This window comes from Homo sapiens, chromosome 15 (assembly GCF_000001405.40).
Source record: "Homo sapiens chromosome 15, GRCh38.p14 Primary Assembly".
Taxonomy (NCBI): Eukaryota; Metazoa; Chordata; class Mammalia; order Primates; family Hominidae; genus Homo; species Homo sapiens.
Window position 1 is genome coordinate 63344791 of NC_000015.10, and position 27844 is coordinate 63372634.

The window sequence follows — 27844 nt, forward strand, 5'->3', positions numbered from 1 at the left end:
TCCTTGCCCCACCCCATCCTGCAATTGCATAGGACAAATGCTCTGCCCGTCTTCTAATTTTCTTTTGGCATTTCGGAGTAGCTTCTCAAGGCAACATGACACGATGCTGTGCTGGCTGACATCTTGTCCCTAGTGAGTCTGCTTGCCGTGATGCCCTGCACATTAGACTGCCAGGTACCCCTAGACTTGTGGCCAGGTAGAAGGGTGGCCCTAGACCCATGTCCCCATGTTCTAAACACAACCCATGCCCAGAGAGGGAAAGATAGCATCAAAATGATGCAAACAGCATGACATATGAAGAAAGGCTGAGAAGTTTGGGGGAGCAGTGAGCCCAGTGTGAGTCAGCAGGAGATTTTTATCTGCACAGATAGGAAGGCAATGTCTAAAAGAAGGGCATGTATGTCCCACTGGGCCACCCTGGGAATACTGCCTCCCCAGCAGCATCACTCAGTAAAAGACACAGGGACAAACTTAGCATGTTCAGGAGAAGAAAGGGACCAGGACAGTGCAGATGAGCTACAGGCTAGTGGAGTGGCTGCGCCCCTTGTGCCAGGGCCAGAGGTGGGGCAGAGAGCCTGAAGGCAGCCTGTCCCATGCTCTGGTGTTATCTGCACAGCAGCCAGGTCGAGAAGGTGCCACACCACCCACTGCAGAGCAGCCTCTGCCAGACTGGCAGCCCTACTTACCTCGGCGGCGAAGTGCTGTCCGCTGACGGTGTGCTCAGAGCCGTGCGGGTCATTCGGGTTCCCCCAGTGCAGGTGCAGCTGCGTGGCACTGTAGCGAGACTGGAGGCCCTGGATGTGCATGTCCGAGGGCAGGTTCAGCTTCACTGCGGGGAGTGGAGGAGCAGCCTTCAGAGCCCCGGCCAGCTGTGCACTGCCAGAGAGCAGTCAGGTAGGCAATGCTCCCTCCACCCCTGCTGCCACCCCCTGGAGCCCAGAGAGAGGCAGGTGGATGGAGTGAGGTGCGGAGCAGAGATGCAGCCTAAAGGTCAGACACCTGGGCTCTTTCCCTGAGAATGTTCCCTTTTCCCCAAAGCAACTCCAGTGGCACCAGCACCTTCTTGGTTCACCTTGGAAAGTGATGCCAGAAACGCTAACACTAGACCAACGGATGGGTGTTTATTTACATATTGATGGATCAGACACCTTTAGTGAAGTACCTTCCAAGCTTTAGAATTATATAGCAACAGCAACGATAACTGCTATTTATGAAGCATTTACTTCACTCTGTATGCCAGACCCCAACGTACATAATCTCCAGTCTTCACGGTATCCATCAATATGTCCATTTCCAGATGGAAGCTCAAGGAGACTAAAATTCTCACCTAGATTCTCATGGCTCGTAAGCAGTCAAGCCAGAGTTCAAATCCAGGTTGGTCTGACTCCAAAGCCTGGGCACCCCCCGCCAAACTGTGTGGTTCCTTGAATCGTTTATGGTCCAGAATTCACTCCAGCTGCACAGCCAATGAACTACAGTGCTCAGGCCGGTCTCCTGCCCCATCCTGAGAGATGTGCTTCTTCTGGGAAGTGCGGCCCTGGCAGGATCCTCAGAGCCCAGAGCCTCCAGCATCCCCTGGAGAGAGTGCTCCTGGAATCTCTCAAAGACACCCCCGCCCCGCCCCACCCCTCCTCCTGGATGCTTCCACGGAACACCTCCCTGCCAGATGGAAAAGGACAGGCCTGGCAGCTGAGGGAGACTCAGACATACCCCTCAGGTCTCCAAGGCCTCTCCCTCACCTGAATGGCCATTGTTGGTCAGGAGAAACTGCTTGTTGGCAGACAGATTGTAGCCTTGGAACTCGAGGGGCGTGAGGCTGGCGTCATACTGGAGGATGTCACTGTGCAGGTCTATGGGGGACTGCAGCAGGCCCCCACACGACGGGTACTTCTTGGACCAGCTATTCTCCCCATCAGGACCTGGACACAGAGATCCATGCTCAAGATTTAGAGTTTCTCACAAAGGGATTTTCCTTATCTTCTAATTCTCTGTTCAATACAATTACTCCTTTTCTCCTCTTTTCTGAATCCCCGGAGGTAAATCTTCAAGGCTCAGAGTCTTGGCCTCCAGAATCAGGTCCAGCAACCACTCAGGACCACCTGCTCTTAAGTGATGTGGGGAAAGAAGGACTAGGGCTGCACAGGCCAGAGCCAGAAGGCCACCGAACTCTGCTTTATTTTGTACATTGTTCCTGTTTGACACACACGTCAAGACCTGTTGACTTTCAGCAATTCAGCATCTGCTTAGCCAGTACCTATTATGAGCCAGGAATTACTCTGGGTCTTGGGGCTGCCAGGTTGAATACAATAGAGCCCCTGCTCATCCAAGCTGGCATTCTAGCGGGGAAGAATTTAGCAAATCTGCGGGGCCACCCCAGGTGGGAAAAATTAGTGTCTTACTGACCACAGTGCCAAGTATTATCTTGGTGCAAAAATAATTGCGGTTTTTGCCATTCCTTTCAGGCAAAAACCACAACTGCTTTTGCACCAACCTAAATAGGTCTTTGTGGCTGCTGGCTTTGCAAGTATGACCTTCCTGAAGAGAAACCCCTGAGGACATTGACTCTTGATACCCACATTTAGAGTAACTATAGAACCCAATCTGATAGGGATGATTGACAAATGTTAAATAATTATAGGCCTGGAATCACAGAGTGAAGTGCAGAGTTTAAGCTGGAAAAAAATATGACCACACTATAAACTAATTATTACAATATAATTGACACACTATCAGTGAAGAGGAACAGACTTTAAAAAAAGAAATTCCTCCAGGGCTCAAGCTTCTTGCTAACTACCAGATAGCAGTTCCTCCCCTGGAAATGAAAATAAACATGCTATGTGCAGATGAACTTTCCTACTCCCACAGGGAAAAAGTCTTTAAAGAATGTAAATCTATGTTTAAAAGATTATCTCCACGGTAATTAAACAGACTTTCAGGCCAAGGTTTCTCCAGAAAAGCAAAGAATTGGCATGTCATGGCTCGTTAGGGTAGACCCAGGGTGTCCTGTGGGCTCTATCAGAGCTGGGGATCAAGCTTTGCCATCTGGGGGTCCGTTCATCAGTATTTCAACACAAGGAAGGTGGGTAAATAGAGAAAAGGGGAAAGGAACACCACCTCTTCTGGGAATTCTTCTGTAGACCCCTGCACTGTTTCACAAGGGTGTAAATGTTATATTGGCCCCACAGAATCCCAACCCCCTACATCGTGCTCTCTAACTAGGGGACCGTATCTGAGAGTGGGAAGAATCCGAAGTGATACTTGGTACCCAGGTTCATTTCAAATGCTATGAGGCGTTGGTCCCAGGCTTAGTTAGTTCTTACTTCTAGGTCCGGACACACACATCGGAACCCTACTGATTTTTCAGGCTGTCAACCTTAGGCTATGCATTTTCAGAAATGTTACAGCATGACGGAATTGCAGAATCTCCAGTCCAACCTTTCACTGGACACCAGTCTTCTCACTTGGGCATGGCAGAGTCTCCGCTGAGCTCTACTATTCTTATTTTCAAGGCCTCAAAATAACTCAACTACACCAAGATGGTGACTAGGGAAGAGGGAGGCTGGAGGATATCAAAGCAGGCACTCCAGGGCCAAACTGGAGTAAGACAATTATTCAGCTGGGGGCCAAACCGAATGCTTTAGGGGCAGCGGGGAGCAGAATGAAGCAACCGTGAGGCCTCATGTAGAACCCCAGGGTCAGGAAGAGACACAGCACAGGGTAAGACTCCCTAAGTGAGGCTGCCAGCCTTTTCTGTGCTCACAATACTGCCTGGGCCCACAGCCAGCAGGGCGGAAGCTGCCAGCCAGGCATGAATGCAAAAAACTCAGGAAGTAAAGAGATGCATCATTGAGAAGCTTTCTCTTTGCACACATGACTAAAGGGAACTGGATTAGAAGGGTTTTCTTTTCCCACAGTGGAGGTTCAAAAAGGTTTCATCAAGAGGGCATTTTACTGATAGCTAAACGAGAGCCTCGTGAAGATAGGGACCCCTCATCTTCGTCTCTGTGAACCCATATTATAAGTAGGGTCACGTGCCCCCATGGGCATTTAGGAAACATTTTCCCAAAGAGTGAAAAAGAACAGAGGGCTTGGGAAAATGTGACTTGGGGAATGTTTCCTTTTTCTCTTGCTCTAAATACGCTTTATTGGAAGTTAGGACCAAATAAGGTATTTGGGGGGCAGGAAAGACTAAGGATATTAAAGGCAGTAGAGTTGGTGTTGGCAAAACCTGTCTTGGAAAGAGAAGCAGCTATGTTGGACCAGGGGAGTCCAGAGAATGAGATTCCAGCATCAGCTGTCCCAACACTTCAGTGGGTTATGTTCCCTGCTGGAGCCTCCATTGCCCTTCGTGCAAATGGTGGGGGTGGTGGGCGTAGTGGTGGGGATGGGATGTGTGTGGAAGCTATGTTCTGGAAGGTTCCTTCTGGCTCTTAAGCTCTGATATTTATTAAGAATACTAGGACTAAGCACCTTCTCCATCTGTCAGGCAAATTTGAATGAGTCAGAAAGGTTGCTCATGTCAAGGCAGCTACTGGGCATGTGACAAGGTGCCCAGGGGAACCAGCTTCGGGAATGAGGGCACAGGGCACCGGTGCTCCAGGACTGGCTGGGATCAGACAGCCATCTGCATCAGGAACCTGCCCTGGTCCTGGCTGCCATCCACAGCGGAGTTCGTCCTTGGGCACCAGTCACAGGTCTGTAGGTCAGCAAGGTCAAGAAAGCCTTGTCTTCGCCTCCTCCTCCTCCTCCTCATTGTTATTATATTGTAGTAGCTTTGATCCTTATAACTCTATAACCTTACGGGGTAAGCAAGGCAGAATTGCACCATTTTATGGGTGAAAAATAGAGATTTAAGAGATTTGCCGGAAGTTTGACTTTGGCTAAGTAACAGTTACTTTGCTTGGGTCACAGGACTTATGTGTCCTTCAGTATTTATCCAGGAGATTTTGTGCACCTGGAATTTCCTGGCTTCCCCACGCTGTCCTTGAAGACAAGGACCACGGCTCATCCATCGCTGCACTTCCCACAGTGCCTGGCACAGAGTGGGCCCTCACATGTTTACTAAGCTGAACTCTCAACACCTGTTTCATGCTTGTTCCTTTCCCAGGGAACGTGCACCCACCTTAATTCCCTCATGTATTTCTTCTCCTCAAAAAAGAGGAGGAAAAATGAGATCACTTGCTCAGGTTCAAAATGTACCCTCCTAGCTTTCTAGCTTACCTGTGTGCAAATGGTTTCTGTTTGGGGGCACTAATTGAAAAAGAAATCTGATTTCTGCCCTGTAGCCTGGGAGACGGCCTGCCAAGGAAGTTCATAGGGCCCTCCCCCAGCATGTAATGGCTAGTGGGTGTCCCCGCCTTGCATAGCTGGGGACACTGTCAGAGCAGCCTCCTGTCTTTGTGGCATGTGAGAGATAGAGGTGCCATGAGGGTGGGCACCGGGACAACCAATATCAGAGGTGACAACAGCAGGCCTTTCTGTTCCCTGAGCTGTGACATGTGACTGCACAGTGCTGGCCTTATGCTGGCCGCTACACCCTGGGCTACCATTTTCCAACTCAGTGTCAGCTTTCACACTCATGCCAAGTGCTCCACTGCCAGAAATCCTCCACTGGGAGTGACTCTCCTAAAAGAAGCATTTATTTCCAGCTAAAACTTTGCCTTTGCTCTTCTGAGTTTTGACTTCGCCTCTCCAGTTGGTTGGACTCCTCCCATGATCGTGATACAGGAGGATCACGTGTCTTTCACAGTTTGTTTTTCTAAATAAAGCCAAGGCATTATTTCTTTCCTGTCTATGTGTTTTTCCTGCTCTAGGCAAAACAGAAGTGGTCAGAATTCCTGTTTCGAAAGGTAACAAGAGATTAACATGGCACAGCTCAAAATGCCTCTCGTGATTTCTGATTGGGAATTTTGAGGCCCAGGGTGTAGGACCTGCATTATCCAAGGACCAGAATGTTTTTACAGAAAATTTCAAATGTATACAATGTAGAGAGAGGAGTGGAATGAACCCCATGTCACCCAGCTTGGACAGTTTACAATTCAGAAACAGTCCTGCCTCATCTATGCTAAGCCCATTCTCCCCTTATCTACCTGGATAACTGGAAACAAATCCAGATATATTTCATCTGTATATATTTCATATGTTTCTCTAAAACATAAGGGCTCTTAAAACCACAGTACCATGACCACACCTAGAGAGTTAAGAATTAATACCTTAAGATTACCGAATCCAATTAGAATTCAAATTTTTCCAAATAGGTCATAAATTTTTAACAGTTTGTAAATTTCAGGGTTCACATACAGTCCATATATTTTTTGCAATATTGCAATTAGAGGATGTGTTATGGCCTAGATTACAGCTTGATGGTGGAATGCCTCATCAGAGAACACCTGGGCCCCGCTCCTCCAAGGCTCAACATCTCAGAGCCAGCTTGGTCTATCCTTTGCCCTTAGTGGGTCATGGACTCCCATGCTTCCATGGGTTAGGCCCTCGCCATGTCACACTGCAAAGGCTTCCCACAGGCAACCAGCCCCAGCCTTCCTTGTTACACTGCCAGGCTGGCTCTCCTGCAGTAACCAGATCAATCTTGTCATAGCCTGGCTTGGGTGGCACCACCCCACCACCCATCCGTACACTCCCTTTCTCCCTAGCATGCCCTGCCCCACCCCAACAAGACAAAGCACAGCCTAGCTGTTTTTCATGGCCTTGAAGTGCCCCAACCTGTCAAAGTCTTCAAAGGCCCCCACATCCCGCCCCAGCCTGCCCCATGCTTCAGCCAGCTCCCTGAGCCTAAGAACAGGCTATGCCAACCCACCTTCACAAATGCCGTTATGAAAAAATCTGCTCAAATGCCCTCTTCTTTCCTCTGCACCTTTCCAAATTTCGTCCACTCTTCAAAGTCCAGCTCAGGTCCTGCCAAAGCTACCCCAGTGCTTTCTAGTCCCTGACTTGAACTTCTCGGCCAGCCTACTCGGGTTGTGCACACTAGCAAGCAGTGATGATTGTTAGCCTGCCTCACCTGTGACTGTTAGAGCCAGACTAGTACAGAAACTTATTACAGACTAGAGCTCAGAATATGAGTTTCAAAGACCTTTGGAAGACCAGAACTTTATGTCATATCCCTACTTATGTCTGAACACATCCTTGAATGGATGTGGAGGGTTTTTTTAAGCTCATTTCAGAAATTTAGCCATAAAGGGATGAGAGAAGGGTGTATGCGTGGTGGTTATGGTAAGGTGAGGGTAATGTGAAAGATTTTGTTTTTTGTTTCTGTTTTTGTTTTTGAGACTGAGTCTTGCTCTGTCACCAAGGCTGGAGTGCAGTGGTGCAATCTCAGCTCACTGCAACCTCCGCCTCCCAGGTTCAAGCAATTCTTCTGCCTCAGCCTCCCAAGTAGCTGGGATTACAGGTGCGTGCCTCCACGCCCAGCTAATTTTTTATATTTTTAGTCGACATGGGGTTTCGCCATGTTGGCCAGGCTGGTCTCAGACTCCTGACCTAAAGCGATCCACCTGCCTTGGCCTCCCAAAGTGCTGGGAATACAGGCGCGAGCCACCGCACCCAGCCTGTGTTTTTGTTTTTTATGAAGAGGCTTGAGCAAACTGCTATGCAGACGGCAAAAGAGACCAGAGAAGGAAGGTTGGAGACAGAAGAAAGAGGGGCTCACTGATGAAAGGTAGCCATGAGAAGACAGTGGGGGGATCCAGGCACCAGAGTCAACATTAATTCTGCCCCATGACACTTCTTGGAGGTCATACTCTGAGGTGGACCCCCCTGTGTCTGTGTCAGTGCTCACTGCAGGCAGCTTCCTGGAGAACCTGCCTGGGCCCAAGCTCCAGGGTACATCTCTTTGGGCCGGCTACCAACACGCAGTCAGATCAAAACTTGCCCCAAAGGATACCACTGTAGTGGCAAAGTTTACACATTCTAGATGATGACACGCCCTTTTTCAACAAATAGGCACAATTTCAGGACAATGATAGCTTTTGGTTAGTCCCTCAAAGTTTGTTTTGTAAGGAGGTCTGACCATAATGAAAGGCATGTGTATCTATATGAAAATGATCAAAAATTATGTACCAAATTTGAATACACATTTAATAAGATGGATTGTATTTGCAATAAAAAACGAGTACTCAAATGTTGAATGAAGGAGAAAAATCTCTAAATGCTCTCCTTCTTGGAGTGCAATTTAATTTTGGAGTTAATGCATTCATTTCTTCAACAAATGTGTCTAGTATGTGTCAGGCACTGTACTAGGTGCTGAAGATGCAATGGAGAACAAAACAGCTCTAGTCTCTGACCTTGCGGCACTCACAGACCAGTGTAAGAGACTGATAATAAATAACAAGTAAACCAATGCACAAGGAAATAATTGCAATCTGCAATGAGCGCTGCAAAGGAATTAAACGAGGGCTGCAACAGAAAAATGGAGGGATCCCTGTCAAGCAGATGATGCAGGCAGGCTTCCCAGAGGAGGCGCCGTTAAAGCTGAGATTTAAAGGACAAGTAGAACCAACCATGAGTGAAACGTGAGGAATGGCGTTCACTAGAGAGGGCCCAGCAAGCTCAGAGGCCCCGCTGCAGTGGAGAGGCTGGTATATTCTAGGGATGTGTGATGCATTGACTCAGAAAGAGTCTGGGATCCATCCGGCCTCCCTTTGCCAGGTCTGGGTCCTGCCCTGTGCCAAGGCTGAGCTAGGATCATTTGACACCTGCTTGTGTACATTCCTCCATCTGTTAGAAAGGTCTTCCTGTTGGGAGGCTAGTACCTGCCTCTCTCTGGGGGTCATCCAACAGTCCCGCTCTTGTGGCTAGAGCCACAGAGAACACAGCTAAGCCACAGGACTCAGAGGGGACCGCAGACTTCATGTCCCCTCTAAATCCATCTGGAAACCAGACATCCTCAGGATGGTGTCTGCATGTAAAAGCCATTTTTTTAAAGAGATGGGGTCTTGCTATATTGCCCAGGCTGGTCTCAGACTCCTGGGCTGAAATGATCCTCCTGCCTCAGCCTCCCAAAGTGCTGGGATTATAGATGTGAGCCACTGCACCCAGCCTAGAAGCTACATTTTAAAAACATGTTTAAAATATATTTATAGGTCCTGCAGTTCACTTCTGAAGCTGATTAAAATATCTATGTCTTCTCATAAAAACCCAGTGGGTTCAGCCAGTCAGTAGTGTGGTTCCCACAGCATCACCTTGGTAAGAGGTTGACCCACCGCACAGAAGGCCACAACCTGCTGAATTCTACCTGTTTTCCTGCTGGGTAGGCGGAGAGGCACAGTCATAAACCCCAATGTCCTGCCCAGAAGGAAAGGAGGTGACCAAGGACATGGGTTAATAATTGATGGATGAGGTCTTATGATGTTATTATGTACAAACAGAGGGCGAGGAATCAAACTAGCGTTAGAGTTTTCCTTTGTCAGTATCACCACTGAATCAGAGGTGGTCCCGGGACAGTGAGGGAGGGCTAGAAGGGGAGGGTTACTTGTTATGAATAAAGCTCAAAGCTGGACTTGCCATAGCAGGCCAACTCTTTTTCTTGGATTTTACATTATAGATCAATAAAAATAAACACATTTTCTAAAGATGCTTTAATCCATACTTTGCATCAAACTTTTGTCTAATTTTTGTTTGGGTCAGCTGGAGACGGAGGGTTGAGACTTGGGCTTGGTAAATCCCCCCAAATCTCCCCTTGGGGAGGCAGGAGGATCAGTTGAGCCCAGGAGTTTGAGACAAGCCTGGGCAACATAGCAAGACCCCATCTCTAAACAACAAAAAAAGTGGCTTCTACATGCAGACACCATCCTGAGGATGTCTGATTTCCAGATGGATTTAGAGGGGACATGAAGGCTGCTGTTCCCTCTGAGTCTTGTGGCTTAGCTGTGTTCTCTGTGGCTCTAGTCACAGGGGCAGGACTGATGGATGTATTAACACAGAGAGAGATGGGAATCATTTCCCATCCAGCCATGGTGGTGGGGGCCAGGAGTGCAGGCTGGAGGCCAGAAGAGGTGAACCATAAGGCTGGGGCTGCCAGCTCAGCCCTCCACCCACCCTCAGGAAGTCCTTCTCCTCCACCCCGCCAATAATCCCCGTCTAATATTGCTGGGTGGGGGATGAGGCGGGGACAAAAAGGCTCCGCAGTCATTTACACACTGGTGTCAAGGCCTGCATCAGGTTCCTTCTGGAGATGAGGTTTATTACAGGGAGGCGGGTGGGGTTTCCAGGCTGCCAAAGGTAAAGGGTGACGATCTGTTTGCTTTTGCTTCTCCATTTCTAACCTCCTCTTAGGTTCTCATGACCTGTGACCTTAGAGTATGTTCATCGTGGAGAGGCTCTGCCCACCTCTCTCTGGACTTTTCTGTGTCTGCTCCCACCCCTCCTTTTCGTTCCAGCAGCGCTGAGCTGCTTGCATCCTGCAGACACACCAAGCTGCTTCACATCTCCCTGAAACACCCTCCCCTCGCTGGGGCAGGGCAAAGGGTTTCCCCCTCTTCTGTGCTCCTATACAGCCTTTGCATTTCTCTTCCTTGCAGCAGCCACACTGATCAAAGCAATATTGTCTGCCTTTCCACCCCAGTAGTCCAGTGGTTCTCAAAGCGTGGCTCCAGACAAGCATTATCATCACCGCCTAGGAACTCATTCAAAATGCAGAGTCTCGGGCCCCACCCCAGGCCTACCGAACCGGACACTCTGGGGGTGGCGCCCAGCATCTGCCGTTGGACAAGGCTGCCAGGCGATGCTGCTGCGGGCTGAGGCTGAGAAGCGCTGCACTAGACTGTCAGCTCGCTTTCTGCATGCGTGTACACCTGGCTCCTGCTGCAGAGCCTGGCACACTGAAGTGTTCAACAAACAGCTCTTGAACTAAGCAACAAACAACAGCAAACCACTAAGTTAAACAAACTGCTGACATGCTAACAACCTAACCCCTATCATGAAAACTAGCCAGGCCTGAGCCCCCCATCAGTGCTCACCACATGTTATCCTCCTTCATCTTCCTTGGCCCATTCATGTGAGGAATCGTGCTAGATGTGAAAGTGTTAAGTCCACAGCCCTGTAGCCACCGCCCTCGCAAGACATCCTGCTCTGTCTTTCTTAAACATAATATTCAAATAGGGGGCTCCAGGCTCAGGCAACGACTGGTAACCATCTCTGAACAGAAAGGACTACAGATACCGTCTTTTTCATGCACTGTTATATGCATAACATTTACATGATTAAATATGGTGTTTGAAGTAATTTTTATTCAGTGTTGACCATCAGAAACATGGTCATGTTTCTAACCATGTTTTCATGGCTTAATCTCTTTTTAAAAATTGTCGGCCGGGCACGGTGGCTCACGCCTGTAATCCCAGCACTTTGGGAGGCCAAGGAGGGCAGATCACCTGAGGCCAGGAGTTGGAGACCAGCCTGGCCAACATGGTGAAACCCCGTCTGTACTAAAAATACAAAAAATAGCTGGGCATGGTGGCATACGCCTGTAGTCCCAGCTACTCGGGAGGCTGAGGCAGGAGAATCGCTTAAATCCAGGAGATGGAGGTTGCCGTAAGCTGAGACTGCGCCACTGCACTCCGGCCTGGGTGACAGAGCATCTCAAATAAAAAATTAAAAATTGTAGTAAAATATACATAACAGAGCTTTTTCATTATCTCAAACATTTATTGTTGGTGGGAACATCAAATAGTTTGGCGGTGCCTTAAAACGTTAAGATAGAATTACCATATAATACCAGCAATTCTTTTTTTTTTTTGAGACAGAGTCTCTCGCTCTGTTGCCCAAGCTGGAATGCAGTAGCGTGATCTCGCTCACTGCAACCTCTGCCTCCTGGGTTCAAGCGATTCTCGTGCCTCAGCCTCTCACGTAGCTGGGATTACAGATGCACATCACCACACCCAGCTAATTTTTGTATTTTTAATAGAAATGGGGTTTCACCAGTCTCGATCTCCTGACTTCAAGTGATCCACCCACCTTGGCCTCCCAAAGTGCTGGGATTACAGGTGTGAGCCAACACGCCTGGCCTGATCCAGTAATTCTAATCCTAGATATAGATCCCAAAGTATTAAAAGCAGGGATTCAAAGAGATACCTGTACACCTGTGTTCATAGCAGCATTATTTATATTAGTCAAAAGGTGGAAATAAGTCAATTGTCCATCAACAGATGCATGGATAAACAAAATGTGGCACAGACATACAATGGAATATTGTTTAGCCGTAAAAAGGCTGATCTCATTTTAATGTACCATTTCTTTTCCAAGAATCTAACCCACCAGATGCTTGAGAGGAGCTGGGATAGGTCTTTTTATTTTCACGGCACCCTTTATGGAACCAAACGTATGGCAGATGCTCAATGAATACTCACTGGTTGAGAAAAACTCTGTAGTTTACTTGGCCTAGACTTGAATAGTGGTTGCCAGAACTTGAGTGCACAATCAGAATCTCCTAGAGGGCTTGTTCCCACACAGACTGCTGGGCCACACCCTCAGAGTTTCTGATTCAGTACTTCACGGACGGAGCCCTAGCATCTGCATTTCTAACACATTCCCAGGTGATGCTGCTGCTGCTGGGTCCAGGAACCACATTTGGAGAATCCCCAGCCCAGAGCCATATTTCTCAACCATGGCTACATAGTGGAATCTCCAAGAGCTCCTGATTTTGCTCCCAGCCCCAGTCCCTGAGATCAGGATTAATTGGTCTTGGTGTTGAGGTGGGAGGTGCTTTAAAAAACTGCTCACATGATTCTCATGGGCAGCCAAAGTAGGGAAGAGCTGCTGTGAAACCCTCATCACACTGAAGGCCTTGTGGTTCTTGTGAGCAGAGTCAGGGCCTTTTTCTCTCTGGTCTCAGGGTGAAGTTGCTTTCTTTCTTTCTTTTTTTTTTAAATTAATTTTTTGTTGTGGTAAAATACATAGAGCATAAAACTACCATTAGTAAAATTTAGTATATTCACGATGTTGTGCAACCATTACCCCTACTTAGATCCAGAACATTTCAATATTCCAAAGGAAACCTCATACCTGTGAAGCAGTCACCTCCCACTCTCCCTGCTCTCAGCACCGGGCAACCACTAATCTGCTCTCTGCCTCCATGGATTTGCCTCTTCCGGATAGTTCATATAAACAGAATCATACAATATGTGGTCAATTGCAGGTGGCTTCTTTCATCTGGCATAATGTTTCCAAGGTTCATCCATGTTGTAGCATTCCTTCCTATGCAATAAAAAGGGCCTTCATGCCTTTTTATGATGGCATAATATCCCATTCTATGGATATATCACAATTTGGTTATTCATTCATAGGACTGCATTTTATTGTAGTTTAAATATTTGACTCTAGTTAAATTGCTATGGATTCTCTTGTGTAAAATAGTTATTGACCGAAATAAAATGTTGGTGTTTCTCCTGTTTGAGTTTTAGAAAATAAGCTGTGCAGAGTGCTGCAAGGCAGCTGGAAGGAAAGGAAGATGGAGAAAATACAGCCTGGTTTCCAGAAAATGAGGGCCTGGGGTCAACAAGGCTATTATTTGTGACAAGCTCTTGAGTGAAAAGAGAAAACTTCAAATGATCATGATCATAAAGCCATATTCCACACAGGGTGATGTAGCAATGTTCCCCGGCACTCACGGGAAACCAGTGGGAGAGCGAATACTGTGGGCAGAGGCTGCTTTTGTGACAGGCTCCTTTCCTGGCAGAGAGAGACTTGAAAATGTCACAGGTGCTTTTCATCACTGGTACAGCTGTCTCCCCTGGCTGACAAAAAAATGCTCCCTCTCCCCATCCGCCTTCCCAGCACTCATCTTTGTGAAGAGTGTGAAGCGGTAGGTGAGAAGCCATGACTTGATTTGGCATTTAGACAGCAGGCCGGGGGAAATCGGGGTATCTAATTTGAATGTGACCTTGAACTAACTCTGAGCTGTGGACATCCAATGTTTACTTCCTCAGGCGAGTACCCCTTTTTGCCCCTGACCTGATTACTCTTGTCTCCTCGGCCGAGCATCTTCAAAGAACTGTGTGCATACCCGCATCTGTGTCTTTACTTCCCATTCAGACCTCCCTGCTCTTCCACGCCCATGTCCCACTGAGTCCACACAGACTCTTCGGCCCTCGCACTTCATGCAGCCCTTGACCCTGGTGGCACTAACCCCCCACTCCTGATTTCTGAACCCTCTGTTTCTGGGGACACTGCTTTGTTGAATTGTCCTCCCGTTTCCCTGCCCTTTCTCAGATCTCTGTGGCCACTTGCCCCTCAATGTCAGCTGTCACGGTGGTTTTGTTGTTGGCCCCTTCTCCTTCTTACAGACACACTCCCCTGGGGTGAAGCTGTCCCCTCCCATGGCTTCAACACCAGCTCTGCCCCTGCCCAGTTTTCCTCTGAGCTCCAGACCACCTGCCTGCTGGCTACCCCCTTTGGATAATCCATGGGATCCTAAAACCAGATGTGGCTGGAAGGGGACTCAGGCTAGCAAATCATTTTTAAAAATAACCAAACTCACCATCTTTTCCTCCCCCTTCCTCCCTCCAAAGCTCCCCCCAACCCTCTATGTCAGCTGGTAATACCAGCCACCACACCAAATGCCTGGCGATCACAACTGACTCGTTCCTCTCCTCTCCTTCAACCCTCACTTCCAGCCATCACCTAGAATCACCAGTTGTTAACATTTTGCACACTTGCTTTCTCTCACACCCTCTACTGTGTATATGTACCTTAACCCTAACCATATATATGTACACACACACACACATACACACACACAAATATATATACACATGCAACCTCACTCCCGTCATGAGAAACCCTCAGACAAATAAAAATCGAGGGACATTCTCTAAGATCTATATGCTATATGCTACAAGGTCCGTTCTACATGCTTCAGAAATGTCAAGGGCATAAAAGGTCTAAAGAGATACCACAGATAAATGCTATCTGGATTGAATCCTGGATCAGAAAAAAAATGCTATCAAGGATAGTATGAAGTTTGTTTTAAACTTGACCGCCACTCTCCCAACTGGCACAGCCCTTGTTCAGACCACTTGCCCCACAGCTGTACCCCTCATTGGCCGTGTTTCTCCAGGCTCACCCTCCAGCTCTCCACTCTCCACAACAGTGCACACCAGATCCAGACAGTTCTCTGCTGAAAGTTCTTCAGTGGCTCCTTGAGATAAATATCAAGCTCTGTCATGTAGCACACAAGACCTTCACAATCCCACTCACTTCTCCAGGCTTTGCTTTCCCCACTCATCACCTGTCCAAAAGTGTGGAGGGTCAGAGCTTTTATCCTGCTTGCAAGTTAACAAGTTAGTCTGCCAGTTTCATGGATATCGGCAGAAGACATGAGATGCCTGGGTCAGAGACAAGGGACAGTTTAATACTCACAGCAGTAGCCAGAGTAACGTTTGCACCTGTTTCCCCAGCCCCAGTTCCACAGAATGATATGTGGACCAAGTGACACTGGCATATGCAAACTGCTCAGCATCATTGGCTGAGGAACTCAAGGCTTGGGAAACCTCATTCTTTTAAAGGGGGCGGCTAGCAAACCTGTCCAACATTTACCTCTGAAAGGAGACGTGATCTTTATTATGCTGACAGCAAATAAATCACTCTTTGCCCTGCAGGGAGATATTGTCACTATCATCTAAGACTGTTTGTTACATAAACGTCCTTTAAAAGCAAGTCTGGAACAAAACCTGTCTAGTGTCTCTGTTCACAGATATGCTGAAACATGAAAGACCCATGGAGAACTGTCTCCCAACACTACCCCTCAAACATTAGGCTACTGAGTCTCTAATTGTGCCACGTGCTCTCGCCTGCTTTTTAGGGCCTCTGTTGCCTGCAATGGGATGCCATCCTCATCCCTAAAACACTCACCACCCATGCACATAAATACTCACATATTCTCCTTGCCCTGCTAACTCCTGTGTGTTTCCAGAATTAGCTCCTCAGGCAAGCCTTTGCTGACAGACGCACATGCCCCCGAATTGAGGTTATTTGTCCCCTCTGTGTTCCACAACACCAGCACACGTCATCATAGCACTTAGTGTGCTTCATTGTAATTACCTGCTTATATGTCTACCTCCCCCTCACCTACCAGCCCATTGAAGGTAAGGGCTCTGTCTCTGGTTCCCTGTGACCAGCCCACAAAGGGATTCATTAAAGACTGGAGGGGAGAATAAGCGAATCGGTGAATAAACTATTATTTTAAAGCTGTCAACAGTTTCTTCCTGACACTTGAGGTGGCATCGGATGTAAATACAGTGAAGCTGGAAAGCTAGCATGGGGCCAGGGGTGGGGGGATTCATAAGCATCTTCCACACTCTGGGGCAGGCCGTCTCTGGGCTGTGGAAGGTAGCTCTTTGATAGACCCTCTTACCTACACAGATGTGAGGCAGGGAGCTGCCCAGTGGAAGTGTAGCCCCCAACGGAGCAGTCCAGATGCTGCTGCTTCGAGGTGAGATGCTCTGTTTAATGATACAATAATACAAACTGGAGGCATCTTTAGCAGTTTGTGCCTTTGCAAAGAACACTGTTTTTCAAAGGATGAAGTTAAGCCATCCTAGACCGGGTTGCTGTTGCCCCACCTGTGATGTTATTTTAGACTAAGCCAGTGATTTTCAACTGGGGCGATTTTGCCCTTCAGGGGACATTGGCAATGTCTGAAGACATTTTCAGCTGTCACAACTTGGGGGGGTGCTACTAGCATCTAGTGGGCAGAGGCCAGGGAATCTGCTAAGGATCCTGCAATGTGCAGGACAGTCCTGCACAACAGAGAGTTATCCTGCCCAAAATATCCACAGGGAAGAGACTGGAAGGTCGAGACTGGACTATTGTAATTGTCCCCTCAGGGCCGTGAGGAAAGAGGAACCAGAGCATGCCCCACAGCGGAGGTTGATCTTGATGGAGTTGGCTGCTCTCCCTGTCAGTCGTTCTCTGGGGCAGGAAAGAGTGGTGGGAGAACACAGTCAGGAGGGACTCCAGTCCATGGGACACAGCATGATGGCAGCACCTCCTGGCATTGAGGAGGCAGGAAGAGATCACCACCCTCAGGGAGCACTGATCACACAAACAGCTGTGTTAGATGTTCCTTTTAGGTTGTCATTGTCTAAGCATTCATCATAGGACCTCATTCAAATTTTGTTAAACTCAAGAACTAGTGAGGCTTCTTTCCCTTTTCTTTGTTTAAGCTACCATTTAATGAGCACTTTCTATGTGCCAGGCATCATTCTATATCAGGGGTTGGCTAACTTTTTCTGCAAAAGGCCAGAGAGTAAGTTTTTGAAGCTTTGCGGGCCCTGTGGTTTCTGTCACTACCAGCTCTGCTATTGTAGCCCAAAAGCAGTCACAGAGAATATGCAAACAAATGAATGTAGCTGTGTTCCAAAGAAATTTATTTATAAAACAGGTGTTGGGCTGGACTTGACCCATGGGCCACAGTTTGTCAACTGCCATTCTGTAAGCTTAACATGTGTTAATTACTGCAATCTGAATAACAATGCTATGATATAGACACTGTGTTCCTTTTAATAGACAAAGGAACCCAGGCACAGAAGGATTGACTAATATGACCAAAGTCACACTGCCAGTGAGTAGCAAGCCTGAGCTCTGAACCATGACAGTTCACATCTTCCACGACAGCAGCTTCTCAATGCTCTTTGGAGGGACCAGAGCCCAGGCAGTAGCAACGGCTATGAGGTGGTGAGACGTGACCAGCAGATAAGCCCTGGGCAATGGTCCAGAGCTGGAGGGAGTGGAGAACTAGCCATTTGTGACTTTGTGAACAATCCCTGGGGAGTCTGGAAATTACCCAAAGAGGGGATCTGATAAAAGACAGAAACTTCCTGAAGTTCCCCAGGATGAAGCCTGAACTAAAGTGAAGATTGGCCGCTGGACGTTGACCTGATGCTGGCTCAATGTTTCACGTAACAGCTTTCACAATAAGGATGTTCTTTCTGATATCTTACCTATAGCACTCTTGCTATTATTTAAAGTTTTCCTTTATAGTAAAAAAACCACGAAAACAAAAATCTTTTGCTTTTTCATAGTTCTTCTTAAACCTGAAGACCTTCATCCTGGCTACTTCTGTCTCTTCTCTAGAGATGCGTGAAGTATAGTGGGAAGGTCGAGGGCTTTGGAGGCATTCGACCAACCTGCCAATCACAGCTCTGCCACCGACTAGCTATGTGACCTAGGGCACATTTCTTTGCTTCTCTGGGCTTCACTTACAAAATGGAAGTGGCAGTACCTATCTCACCGGGTGCTGTGCTGTGAGGAATCACTGCGTAAGAGCCATGTCTAGACAAGGTAGACTCTTACGCACGCTGGGTCCCAGGCCCTCCTGAGTTGATTTGTCTCAGTTCTTTCTTTTTTTCTTAGGGGCTGGTTTCCAACCTTTTAGAGCAACTTCTCTCTTTCACTTCACCAAAAACAAATCTAAGGTTTCCTACATGTCTCCTTTTACTTCTAATGAGATGCACATGGTGATGTGGCATTTCCTTTCAGGCCAGTTTCACCTCTGAAATCCGACCATCCCAGATCAATGTCACCTTCTCTCTGGTGCCTTCCCTGAGTCCCAGAGCCAAAAATTAATAGAGAAATAACCCATTCTTTCCTCAATCATCAACAAGTGTTTCCTGAGCACCTCCCCTGGGCCAGGCTATGTGCATCTATCTGCCTATGCAGCTGCTGTGGAGACGCTGACCCCTAAGCTGTGCAGACACACCCTCCTTCTAGATAACTCTTCTTGAGGGTAAAAATGGCTCCTTGGTCACCCTCTGTTCCTCTTGGAAGTCCTAGAACACTGCTGTGCATGCAGCAGGCTCAAGCTCAAAAGCCACCATTGATTAAACAATTCAGCAGTGATAATTTGACAAGTGATAATCAGCCTTTGCAGGAAAGCCAACACCTGATTATTAACCCAAGAAGTACCCATGCCATCATGGGACAGTTATGTGGCAGGAAACAGTTGATGCCTATAATTCTTAACTTTTTACCAGGGCATAACAAGTTTTCTGACAGGGCATCTGTGCAGATGCAGTCTGACCAAGGGATGGGTCGCTCCCTGCTTCATCCTTGCTGATGTACAAGTTAAGCATTCCACTAAAAGGCTTATCAAGAGTGGGAGACTTGGCCGGATGCGGTGGCTCACGCCTGTAATCCTGGCACTTTGGGAGGCCGAGGAGGGCGGATCACCTGAGGTCGGGAGTTCGAGACCAGCCTGACCAACATGGAGAAACCCCATCTCTACTAAAAATACAAAATTAGCCGGGCGTGGTGGCGCATGCCTGTAATCCCAGGTACTCAGGAGGCTAAGGTAGGAGAATCGCTTGAACCCTGGAGGCGGAGGTTGCAGTGAGCAGAGATCGTGCCAGCCTGGGCAACAAGAGTAAAACTCTGTCTCAAAAAAAAAGTGGGGGGGCGGTGAGGAGACTTGGCTAGGTGCGATGGCTCACAATCTTAGAGCACTTTGGGAGGCCAAGGCAGGTAGATCACTTGAGCCCAGGAGTTTGAGACCCACCTGGGCAACACAGTGAAACAGTGAAACCCCGTCACTAGAAAAAAAAAAAAAAAAAAAAAAACAGTGGGACTCTTAGGAAACTGCCACAAGGAGTCTCTTTAAGATTTCACCTAAGCACGGTTCCAAGCAGGGAGCTATAAATGCACATGTGAGTAACTCAGAAACCAGCTGAGAGGCTGGGTCCCAGTTAAACTGTACAGGAGATGCAGCTGGGAGTATGTGTGAGTACAGACACATCTAAAAACACAAATACGCAGATGAACACAGATTGGGGGATGTGGGCGCTCCTCTTCAATCAGTCTTTGCAGCCTGGGCTCTTGCCTCGCAGTGTGCCGTTCTCATATGATATCTGCTCACTGAATCACGGCTTGCTGCCCAGGCCCTGCAGCCCTGGCCCATCGTCCAGGCACATTTCTGGCATATGCCTCTTCACTGTGCATGGCCTGTCCTCTGTGTTCCCTCTTCCAATGTGGTCCTGTCCAGTGCTAATCACCGCACTCCCTCCACTGCCCAACCTCTTCCAAAGATGTGTTCCTGAGGGCACTGTTTCAAGATTGTTCCTGGAGGAACTCCTGCACCTCTTTCAGCCCTGTGCTGCTGACAGCAATGACTGGATTCTATTTTGTCTTCCTAGCAACTGCACTGGTGTGTGTGTGTTTGTTTGTTTGTGTTGCGACAGGGTCTCTCTCTGTTGCTGGGGCTGAGTGCAGTGGCACAATCACAGTTCACTGCAGCCTCAACCTCCTAGACTCAAGTGATCCTCCCACCTCAGCCTCCCAGAGTTCTGGGATTACAGGCATAAGCCACCTCATCCGGACACACTGGTCTTTGATCCACATTTCCCATGAGCATGTCACAACGAACAGTGTAAAATATTTATTTATGTCAATAGGTATTAAGTCTATTGTGTTTTCTTTAACTGCTAAGCCTTTGATCCTGATGGGGGGAAGAAAAGCAAGTGAACTTGGCATAATTCCTGGCAAATCTACACTATTTACTCTTCAAAAAAAATCCCTGCATTTCCTCAACGGCATGAGGTGTAGTGCAGGGCACACAGTGCCTGGCATAAAACGAGCATCCACCAATGGACTGGGAAAGAGCACCGGGAGGGAGTTAAGAGGCCCAAGTTCTGACTCTGCTCCTCAGGCTGCTGGAGCCACCTGACAGTTTTGAGCTTTCCTGGCTTCAGTTGTAAACAGGGGCAGGGTTTGGTGACATGAGCTTCCCCTCCCCTGCCTGGGGCCCACCTAAGCAATAACGGCTGTCTGGGCACCTATTTGAATACTTTGTGAAGCCCAGCAGAGACGGGCTTTCAGCCACAATCAGGCTGCTCCAGGCAATTGCAATGTTGGGTATCTACATTTCTGGCCCAATTATATCAAAAGGTCAGGACCCCCATTTCTCCTCCCTTGGTCCAGATCCTCTCCCTTTCCCCTACATCCCTCTGGTCTCCCTTCCTCTGGGGTTTCACACTCAATCCATTCTCCACCCTGCAGCTGGGATGATTCTCCTAAAATGCTAATCCCAGTTTGTCAGTGTTCTACTTAGAAGGTCCAGCAGTGGGCCAGGTCCAGTGGCTCATGACTATAATCTCAGCACTTTGGGAGGGCAAGGCGGGGAGATCACTTGAGGTCAGGAGTTTGAGACCAGCCTGGCCAACATGGTGACACCCCCATCTCTACTAAAAATACAAAAAATTAGCTGGGCGTGATGGCGTGTGCCTGTAGTCCCAGCTACTTGGGAGGCTGAGGCATGAGAATTGCTGGAAACTGGGAGGCAGTGGTTGCAGTGAACTGAGATTGCACCCCTGCACTCCAGCCTGGGTGACAGAGCGAGACTATCTCAAAAAAAAAAAAAAAAAAAAAGCATGTCCTGCAGTTCCCTGCTGTGTCTAGAACGAGGTCCTGGCTCTTTGGCCTGGCTCAGCTCTTCACACTCTGGCCCCAAGCCCCTTCCCTCATCACTGAGGTCCTCAGGAATCTCCAGAACATAGCAGCTTCCTTCTTTGCACAGGCTGTCCCTTTGTCCCAGAGGCCCTCCATCCCCTGCCCTTTGCCTGGCTTGCTCTTATGTGTCCTTCAGGTCTCATCTTGGACATCACCTCCCCCAGGAAGCCTTCTTTAATCCTTTCCTCCAAAATACTGAGTGAGGTCTCTCTCCTCTGTACTGTAAGGCCCCGCTTAATTGCTCTGTCCTCCAGATTCTTAGTCTCATAATGGTAGGGACCAAGCCTTGTCAACCATTTCCTGAGTACCAATACTTATCCGTTTCTTTAGTCCAATATTTGGCACTTAGTCTTCACTCAGTGAATATTTGTGGAATGAATGTGAACCATTTATCTCAGGCAAGTTGAAAACTTTGGTTGGTTTTTACATCTGCCTTTGATTAATAACAAGTGGGAAATTTTAAACTACTTCATTACTATATAAATATGTTTAAAAACTGTTTAAATCATGGTACCCATGTGGTGGGGGAAGGCAGAATAAAACAGTGGTGAAAATGTAGGGTACCACTAGACTAAGGCTCTTTCTAGATGAAAATCCAGAAATCTGTTACAAGGTTTTGGCTCAGGATCAGGAAATAAGATCCCCAAGCTAGAAGGGTAACACTAAGGTGGCTTATTTATTTATTTTATTTTATTTTTTGAGATGGACTCTTGCTTTGTCGCCCAGACTGGAGTGCAGTGGTATGATCTTGGCTCACTGCAGCCTCTGCCTCCTAGGTTCCAGCGATTCTCCTGCCTCAGCTTCCCAAGTAGCTGAGACTACCGCACATGCCACAATGCCTGGCTAATTTTTGTATTTTTAGTAGAGATAGGGTTTCACCATGTTGGCCAGGCTGGTCTCAAACTCCTGACCTCAAGTGATCCACCCGCCTCGGCCTCCCAAGGTGCTGGGATTACAGCTGTGAGCCACCGCACCCAGCCAGCATGGCTTCTTTAGATTTGCAGGTCATAGAAGAATAGACATTTGCTCAAGTTGGAGACATCAATTTTCCTCTGGGCTTCCTGGTGACCAAAGCCAAAAGAGTCAACAGTAAACACTGCCTCATACTTGCTTCAAAACTTTCTTCCACGACATTGAGAGTTCCATCTTTTCTCCTTTCTCCATTTCTGATAGAGTTTCCAGAAAAGTGGTGTGCCAATGAGGAGCCACCCTGGGAAGGCACCAGGCCCCACTTGCCAATGCCAGCATGACCTTACATAAGGAAATCTCACTGTCATCATTACCTAGGAGACTTTGCAGAGCCCTGTGTCCTAGAAGGAGGGGGCAGCATGTGCCACTTGCCCTGAATCTGCAGGTATCTTTCTGAGAACTGGATGGGTTGCATCCATTTCACACCATAGCTGACCTAGTCACGAGTTAATAATTGCAAAATTGTTTAAAAGTTAAAATGAGCTAAGTGATCTACGTATTTGGAGTTACACCAGCTCTGAGTCAATGTTTATAGACTCAAGGAGGTGGCAGCTAGTATTTGTTTCTTCCTGGTTGGCATAAATTGAACGCTTGTCAGGTAATTGGAAAGTTTTCTCCTTAAATGAATACTTACATAAACTAAAAAAACTAGTGCCTAAATTACTTTGTTTTTACATACTTGTGAGAACGACCCAACATCACCAAAAAGTATACGTGAACTGTGAATTAACTGCAAGTTGGAAAAAGCTATAGTTCAAGATCTCACATGATTCCCCATCATACTTACGTGCTGTGTCAGACCAGGTGCATAATGGCCGTTATTTTTATACCGTTTTGCCTCCACTGTTTTCAGTATTGTTGAAATTAATCGTTTCAGCCCCTTTCTGTGTGTTCTTAGCATCTAACATGGTGCTTCTCTGTATTCGTGGAATAGCTATCCTATTTCATTGCTTCTCAATGCAACTGATAACAAGATATATCCCAATTTCAGAGATGCTAAAATGTGGGGAAAGTGGACATCTTAGGACCAATAAAATAGGACCTTTGACTGTAGCAGGTGCTATCTCTCTTTCTTGGCCTGGTGGTGTGGCCCCTGGAAGAGACTGGCCATGGTGCCTGCGCTCCACCGTGGTGCCTGCACCCTTCGCCCAGCAGTTGCCCCTGCGAAGGAAGAGAGTAACAGGCCAGGAAGGAGGCCCCTGCTCCTTCTAAGACTGCAGGATCCCGAGGAAACATTCTCTGACCTATTCTCTTCCTCAAGGAGAACCAGGACTTCCTCCCTCCTGCCCGCAGCCACCTTCCCACTCATGCTTTGAATTCAGCCTTTTTACTTGAAAGATTTATTTTGAGCAGGTTCACAGGGCAGCACACTGGCTCCTCTTCTTAAGGGGATGCGTTGCCAAAAGCTCTGGCCAGCTCTTGCAGAAGCCATGCCCTGCCCTCACCTGAATGCCCGGGGCTCAAGACCAGCAGGTAGCAGAATGGTCAAGTCGGAGCACAGCCAGAGGCCTGAAAGGCCCTGGCAGGACAGCCCCACAGCTCGTCCTTCCTCCTCACCTGCCAGCCCGCTGCACCTGCGGTTCCAAGGCTTGATGCTGCCCCAGTGGGAAAAGGGCGCTGCATGAGGCTAGGCTGGTGTCAATCCCAAATAGCTCAGCCCCAAGTTTCTTCCTAGGCTCAGGCCTCCACTCCTGAACCCCAAACTAGGCTCAGCCCCCATGGGCTAGACAGGGAACCAGAGAATTTGCCTATTTGCCTGCTCTCTGGGAGACTTCAGGGGCTTGGCTGAGGAGGCCATGGTTATGGAACCAGATATCTGGTTCCTGGATGCCAGGAAAGCACCAGGGAGATGAGACCTGACTTCACCTTGGTCTGAAGAACCAGGCTAGAAAGGACATTCTGGCCTGTGAGGCCCTTGGGACGAGAGCTTGCAGTCCTTGTGTTTTTTAAATTCCTTTCTTACTCAAAAAGGAAATACCCTTTGTTTATTGAAAATATAAAAGGAGTATTTCCTGGCTGTAAAAACTCACAATTCAGAAAAGTGTGAAGAAGCAGAACCCTTCCTAACAAAAATAGAGCTCTCATGCGTTTGGTGCTGTAGAGTTTACAAGGCCTTTCCCTCCATATTAGTTCATTTAATCTGCACCATAGCTCTGCGAGGCAAAGAGAAAGAAACTACAGTTAGCTTTGTATGTGCTAGGCCCTGTGTGAGCCTCTCTCCATGTGTTATCTTATTTGATCCTTACCACAACCCTCTGAAGCACAGCTGGGATTCTCAAACTTGAGTGAGCAGCAGAATCACCTGGAGGACTTGTTAAAACAAATTTCTGGGCCCCGCCCCCCAGAGTTTCTGGTTAGGAGGTAGGCCTGGGATGGGCTGAGAATTTGCATTTGGCTTAGGTGATGCTAATGCTGCTGGCCCAGGGACCACACTTTGAGAACCACTGGTGTAGATGCCATGATTCTCATCTTGTAGCTAAGGAACCAAGGCTCAGAGAGGTCATTACTTTCCTAAGGCGCACCAGACAGAAAGTGGCCTAGCAGATATTTCCATGGAGGTCGCCTGGTTCTGGGGTCTGTAAAGTTTCCGCTTCTTCCTCCTGGTTTTCTGCCTCATCCTCTGTTCCACTATGCCTGTCTTTAGGAACTAATGCTAGCTTCCCTATGTTTTTACTCAGCTGATGAGGCCAGCTGTGAACACAAAAATGTAGGCATTTTGGCAGCCACAGGCCAAAAGCCTCCAGGATACGCACAAACCCCAATTCTGCAATTCAGGAAAGATGAGAAGTAACTATGAGTAGGCGGGCCACACCACATCCAGACAGACCCTAGATGTCACAACTTCAATTAGAAGTAACTGAAACTACAACACAGATTTAATTCAAGATAGGGGGTCGGATTTCTAACCCCAGCAGAAATCCATGGGATTTGGGGATAGGAATTCAGTGTGCTGGTATGAAAAACATGTCTGCCAGGCACGGTGGCTCACCCTTGTAATCCCAACACTTTGGGAGGCCGAGGCGGGAGGCTCATTTGAGGCCAGGAGTTCAAGACCAGCCTGGTAATGTAGCCTGTGTCTACTAAAAAATTTAAAAATTAGCCTGGCATGGTGGCATACGTCCTAGCTACTTGGGAGGCTGAGACAGGAGAATCCCTTGAGCCCAGGTGATGGAGGCTGCAGCGAGCAGTGATTGTGCCACTGCACTCCAGCCTGGATGACAAAGCCCTGTCTCAAAAAAAAAAAAAAAAGAAAAAAAGAAAAGATAGGAAAAGCATATCTGGGCGGGGCACGGTGGCTCATGCCTGTAATCCCACCACTTTGGGAGGCCAAGGCAGGTGGGTCACCTGAAGTCAGGAGTTCGAGACCAGCCTGGTCAACATGGTGAAACCCCGTCTCTATTAAAAATACAAAGATTAGCCGGGCGTGGTGGTGGGTGCCTGTAATCCCAGCTACTTGGGAGTCTGAGGCAGGAGAATCGCTTGAACCTGGGAGGCGGAGGTTGCAGTGAGCCAAGATTGCACCACTGCACTCCAGTCTGGGTGGCAGAGCGAGACTCCATCTCAAAAAAAAAAAGAAAAAAAAGAAAAAAGAAAAACATGTCTGGCCTTTTCCGGCTCTCCTGAGAGTACTTTGTGCCCCTTATTCATCCTCAGGATGGCAGCTGGGAGTCGCGAGAAGTGGCTGGAATGTTTTGAGATGGCCAAGCCTCCCTCCCTTTGATAGAGACAAGAGCCCTCGGTCTATTAATTGCAGGTGCTCCCTGCTGTTTTGAGTCTCCCCTGAGCTCTCACTGCAGCCTGCTTTTTATATTGCAATTCAGGTGTGAGGTCACACAGTGCCTTTATCACTGCTGAAGAATAGAAAGTCAAGAGTTTGCTTCCTGGCCTCCTTTCATGTGTTCCATTTCTAGTTCTGTGTGGGAAGAGGCTGAGAGGGTGTCTGGAGCCCCAAGAAAGTTCATTACAGAAAATAAATATTTCCGCAGATACAGGACAGAAGGCGGGTGGAGGTGTGGGCCTGGAGGACTTCAGGGACATGAAAATGAGGTTTGCCCCAGTGGAGGATCTCCCCCTGATTTCCAAAGGAAATTCTTTAAGACGGACAATGTATTATCTGGGAGAGGAACCAAGGAGTGCAGCAAAAGGAATGCACAGCACTGCCCGGCTCACACCGAGTCCTGCCAGAGCCGAGGGCCACGAGGGCTGGCCTGCCGCAACAGAGAACTGGGCAGGCTGACCTGTAAGCATGTGCGGCCACAGCCACAGCCAGCCACCTGGCACCCCCGTGCCAGGCCACCTTCTTTCCAAGGTTTCCTGAACAGGATGGAGGGGCTGGCCTCGCGGGTGCCCTGTGGGGCTGTGATAGGGGTTGGCGCACCCTCCAGGAGGAAGGCTTGTCATCCATGTTCTTCTGCCATCCCATCGCGTTTAAGACTTTGCAGATCTTGAGCAAACAGGGGTTTTCATCTATTTCTCAACCAGCTCACATCCAAGAAGCAGCAAGCCAATATCTGATATCATCAGGGATGAAACACCACGCCCATTCTCAGCTAACATGATGTGCTCTCGGGTCTAGCTCCAATACAGTCATTCTTTCTGGTTGCTCTGTTGTTTTGAACACACTAGGGTTTTTTTTGTTTTGTTTTTGGGTTTTTTGTTTTGTTTTGGTTTGGTTTGGTTTTTTCTTGGGGAAGGACTAAAAAAGCTATCAGAGTAAGGATGAATCTCCCAGCCAGCTGGAACTTTGTAACTCTTTTATTGAATATGAAATATATACCGAAAAGTGTGTAGACCATAAGCAAACAGCTGGATGAATGCTCAAAAACTGACTGCAGCACCCACACCAAGGACCTGAACGTGCCCACAACCCTTCCTGCCTCCTTCCGGTCATCTTCATCCCCCACAGGGCACATATTCTGATACCTTAGCAGGCTGGAGTTTGTCCTTAGCTCACATGACAACCTGACCTGCAGCTGTCCTCAGTTCACAGCAAGTGAAGCTGCCGGGCTCAGCGGGATTGATGCGGGACTGATTTCCGGCGGGGAAGGTCCATGTCACATCATCCCCAGCCTCTCTCTCATGATGCCACCTCAGCCATGCTAAGCCCAGCAGCCATTCAGCTGCTGTTTCAGCACCCTAGGAGGGGCTCAAAGAGGTGGCGCTGGCCCCATCTTGGCAGTCAGATGGTCCTCCTCTCTCCAGGGAGGAGCCATCCATGCAGTCAGCCTGGTGACTCAGCTATGAGGATGTAGGGGTAGAACTCCCTTTTTTGTACTTCTAAAAGTCCTACCATGTGTGCCAGACAGTGGGAGGCCCCTGGAGAATGACTCAGCAGTGTACGTGCAAAGAAGCTGAGTTCTGCACATGAGCCACCATGCCCAGCACGGAGCCTTTGGTTGGACTTGCCCCATTCAGTGCGGCCCTT

At 48.2% G+C, this 27844-nt stretch overlaps 1 protein-coding gene across 4 annotated transcripts in view, besides 3 other annotated features; it reads right to left on the reverse strand.

The window, feature by feature from the left end:
* The window catches only part of CA12 (carbonic anhydrase 12), a 60469-nt gene that overhangs the window by 23413 nt on the left and 9212 nt on the right, over positions 1–27844 (reverse strand). For 2 of the 4 annotated variants that reach the window (NM_206925.3, NM_001218.5), the window contains exons 3-4: positions 1740–1919; positions 687–829 (exon numbers count right to left, since the gene is read on the reverse strand). In NM_206925.3, coding sequence (NP_996808.1) covers positions 687–829; positions 1740–1919 — 323 coding nt within the window. Of the gene's footprint in view, positions 1–686; positions 877–1739; positions 1920–27844 lie in introns of all 4 variants that reach the window. The other 2 variants (NR_135511.2, NM_001293642.2) reach the window with 2 other exon arrangements.
* Positions 620–807: a silencer, noted in NCBI's record as "fragment chr15:63637609-63637796 (GRCh37/hg19 assembly coordinates)". NCBI's record gives its function as "represses an EF-1alpha promoter that drives an FKBP-Casp9 reporter gene in an ReSE screen in phorbol 12-myristate 13-acetate-treated (for megakaryocytic differentiation) K562 erythroleukemia cells {active_cell/tissue: K562(+PMA)}" and the evidence as "EXISTENCE:reporter gene assay evidence [ECO:0000049][PMID:32094911]".
* Positions 1563–1732: an enhancer, noted in NCBI's record as "experimental_40513 CRE fragment used in MPRA reporter constructs". NCBI's record gives its function as "activates a minimal promoter by MPRAs in K562 erythroleukemia cells, with activity observed for the non-introgressed 15:63638637 or rs34964685 variant allele {active_cell/tissue: K562}" and the evidence as "EXISTENCE:reporter gene assay evidence [ECO:0000049][PMID:34662402]".
* Position 1648: a transcriptional cis regulatory region, noted in NCBI's record as "Neanderthal adaptively introgressed variant 15:63638637 (GRCh37/hg19 assembly coordinates) or rs34964685 in the experimental_40513 CRE". NCBI's record gives its function as "modulates activity of the experimental_40513 enhancer by MPRAs in K562 erythroleukemia cells {active_cell/tissue: K562}" and the evidence as "EXISTENCE:reporter gene assay evidence [ECO:0000049][PMID:34662402]".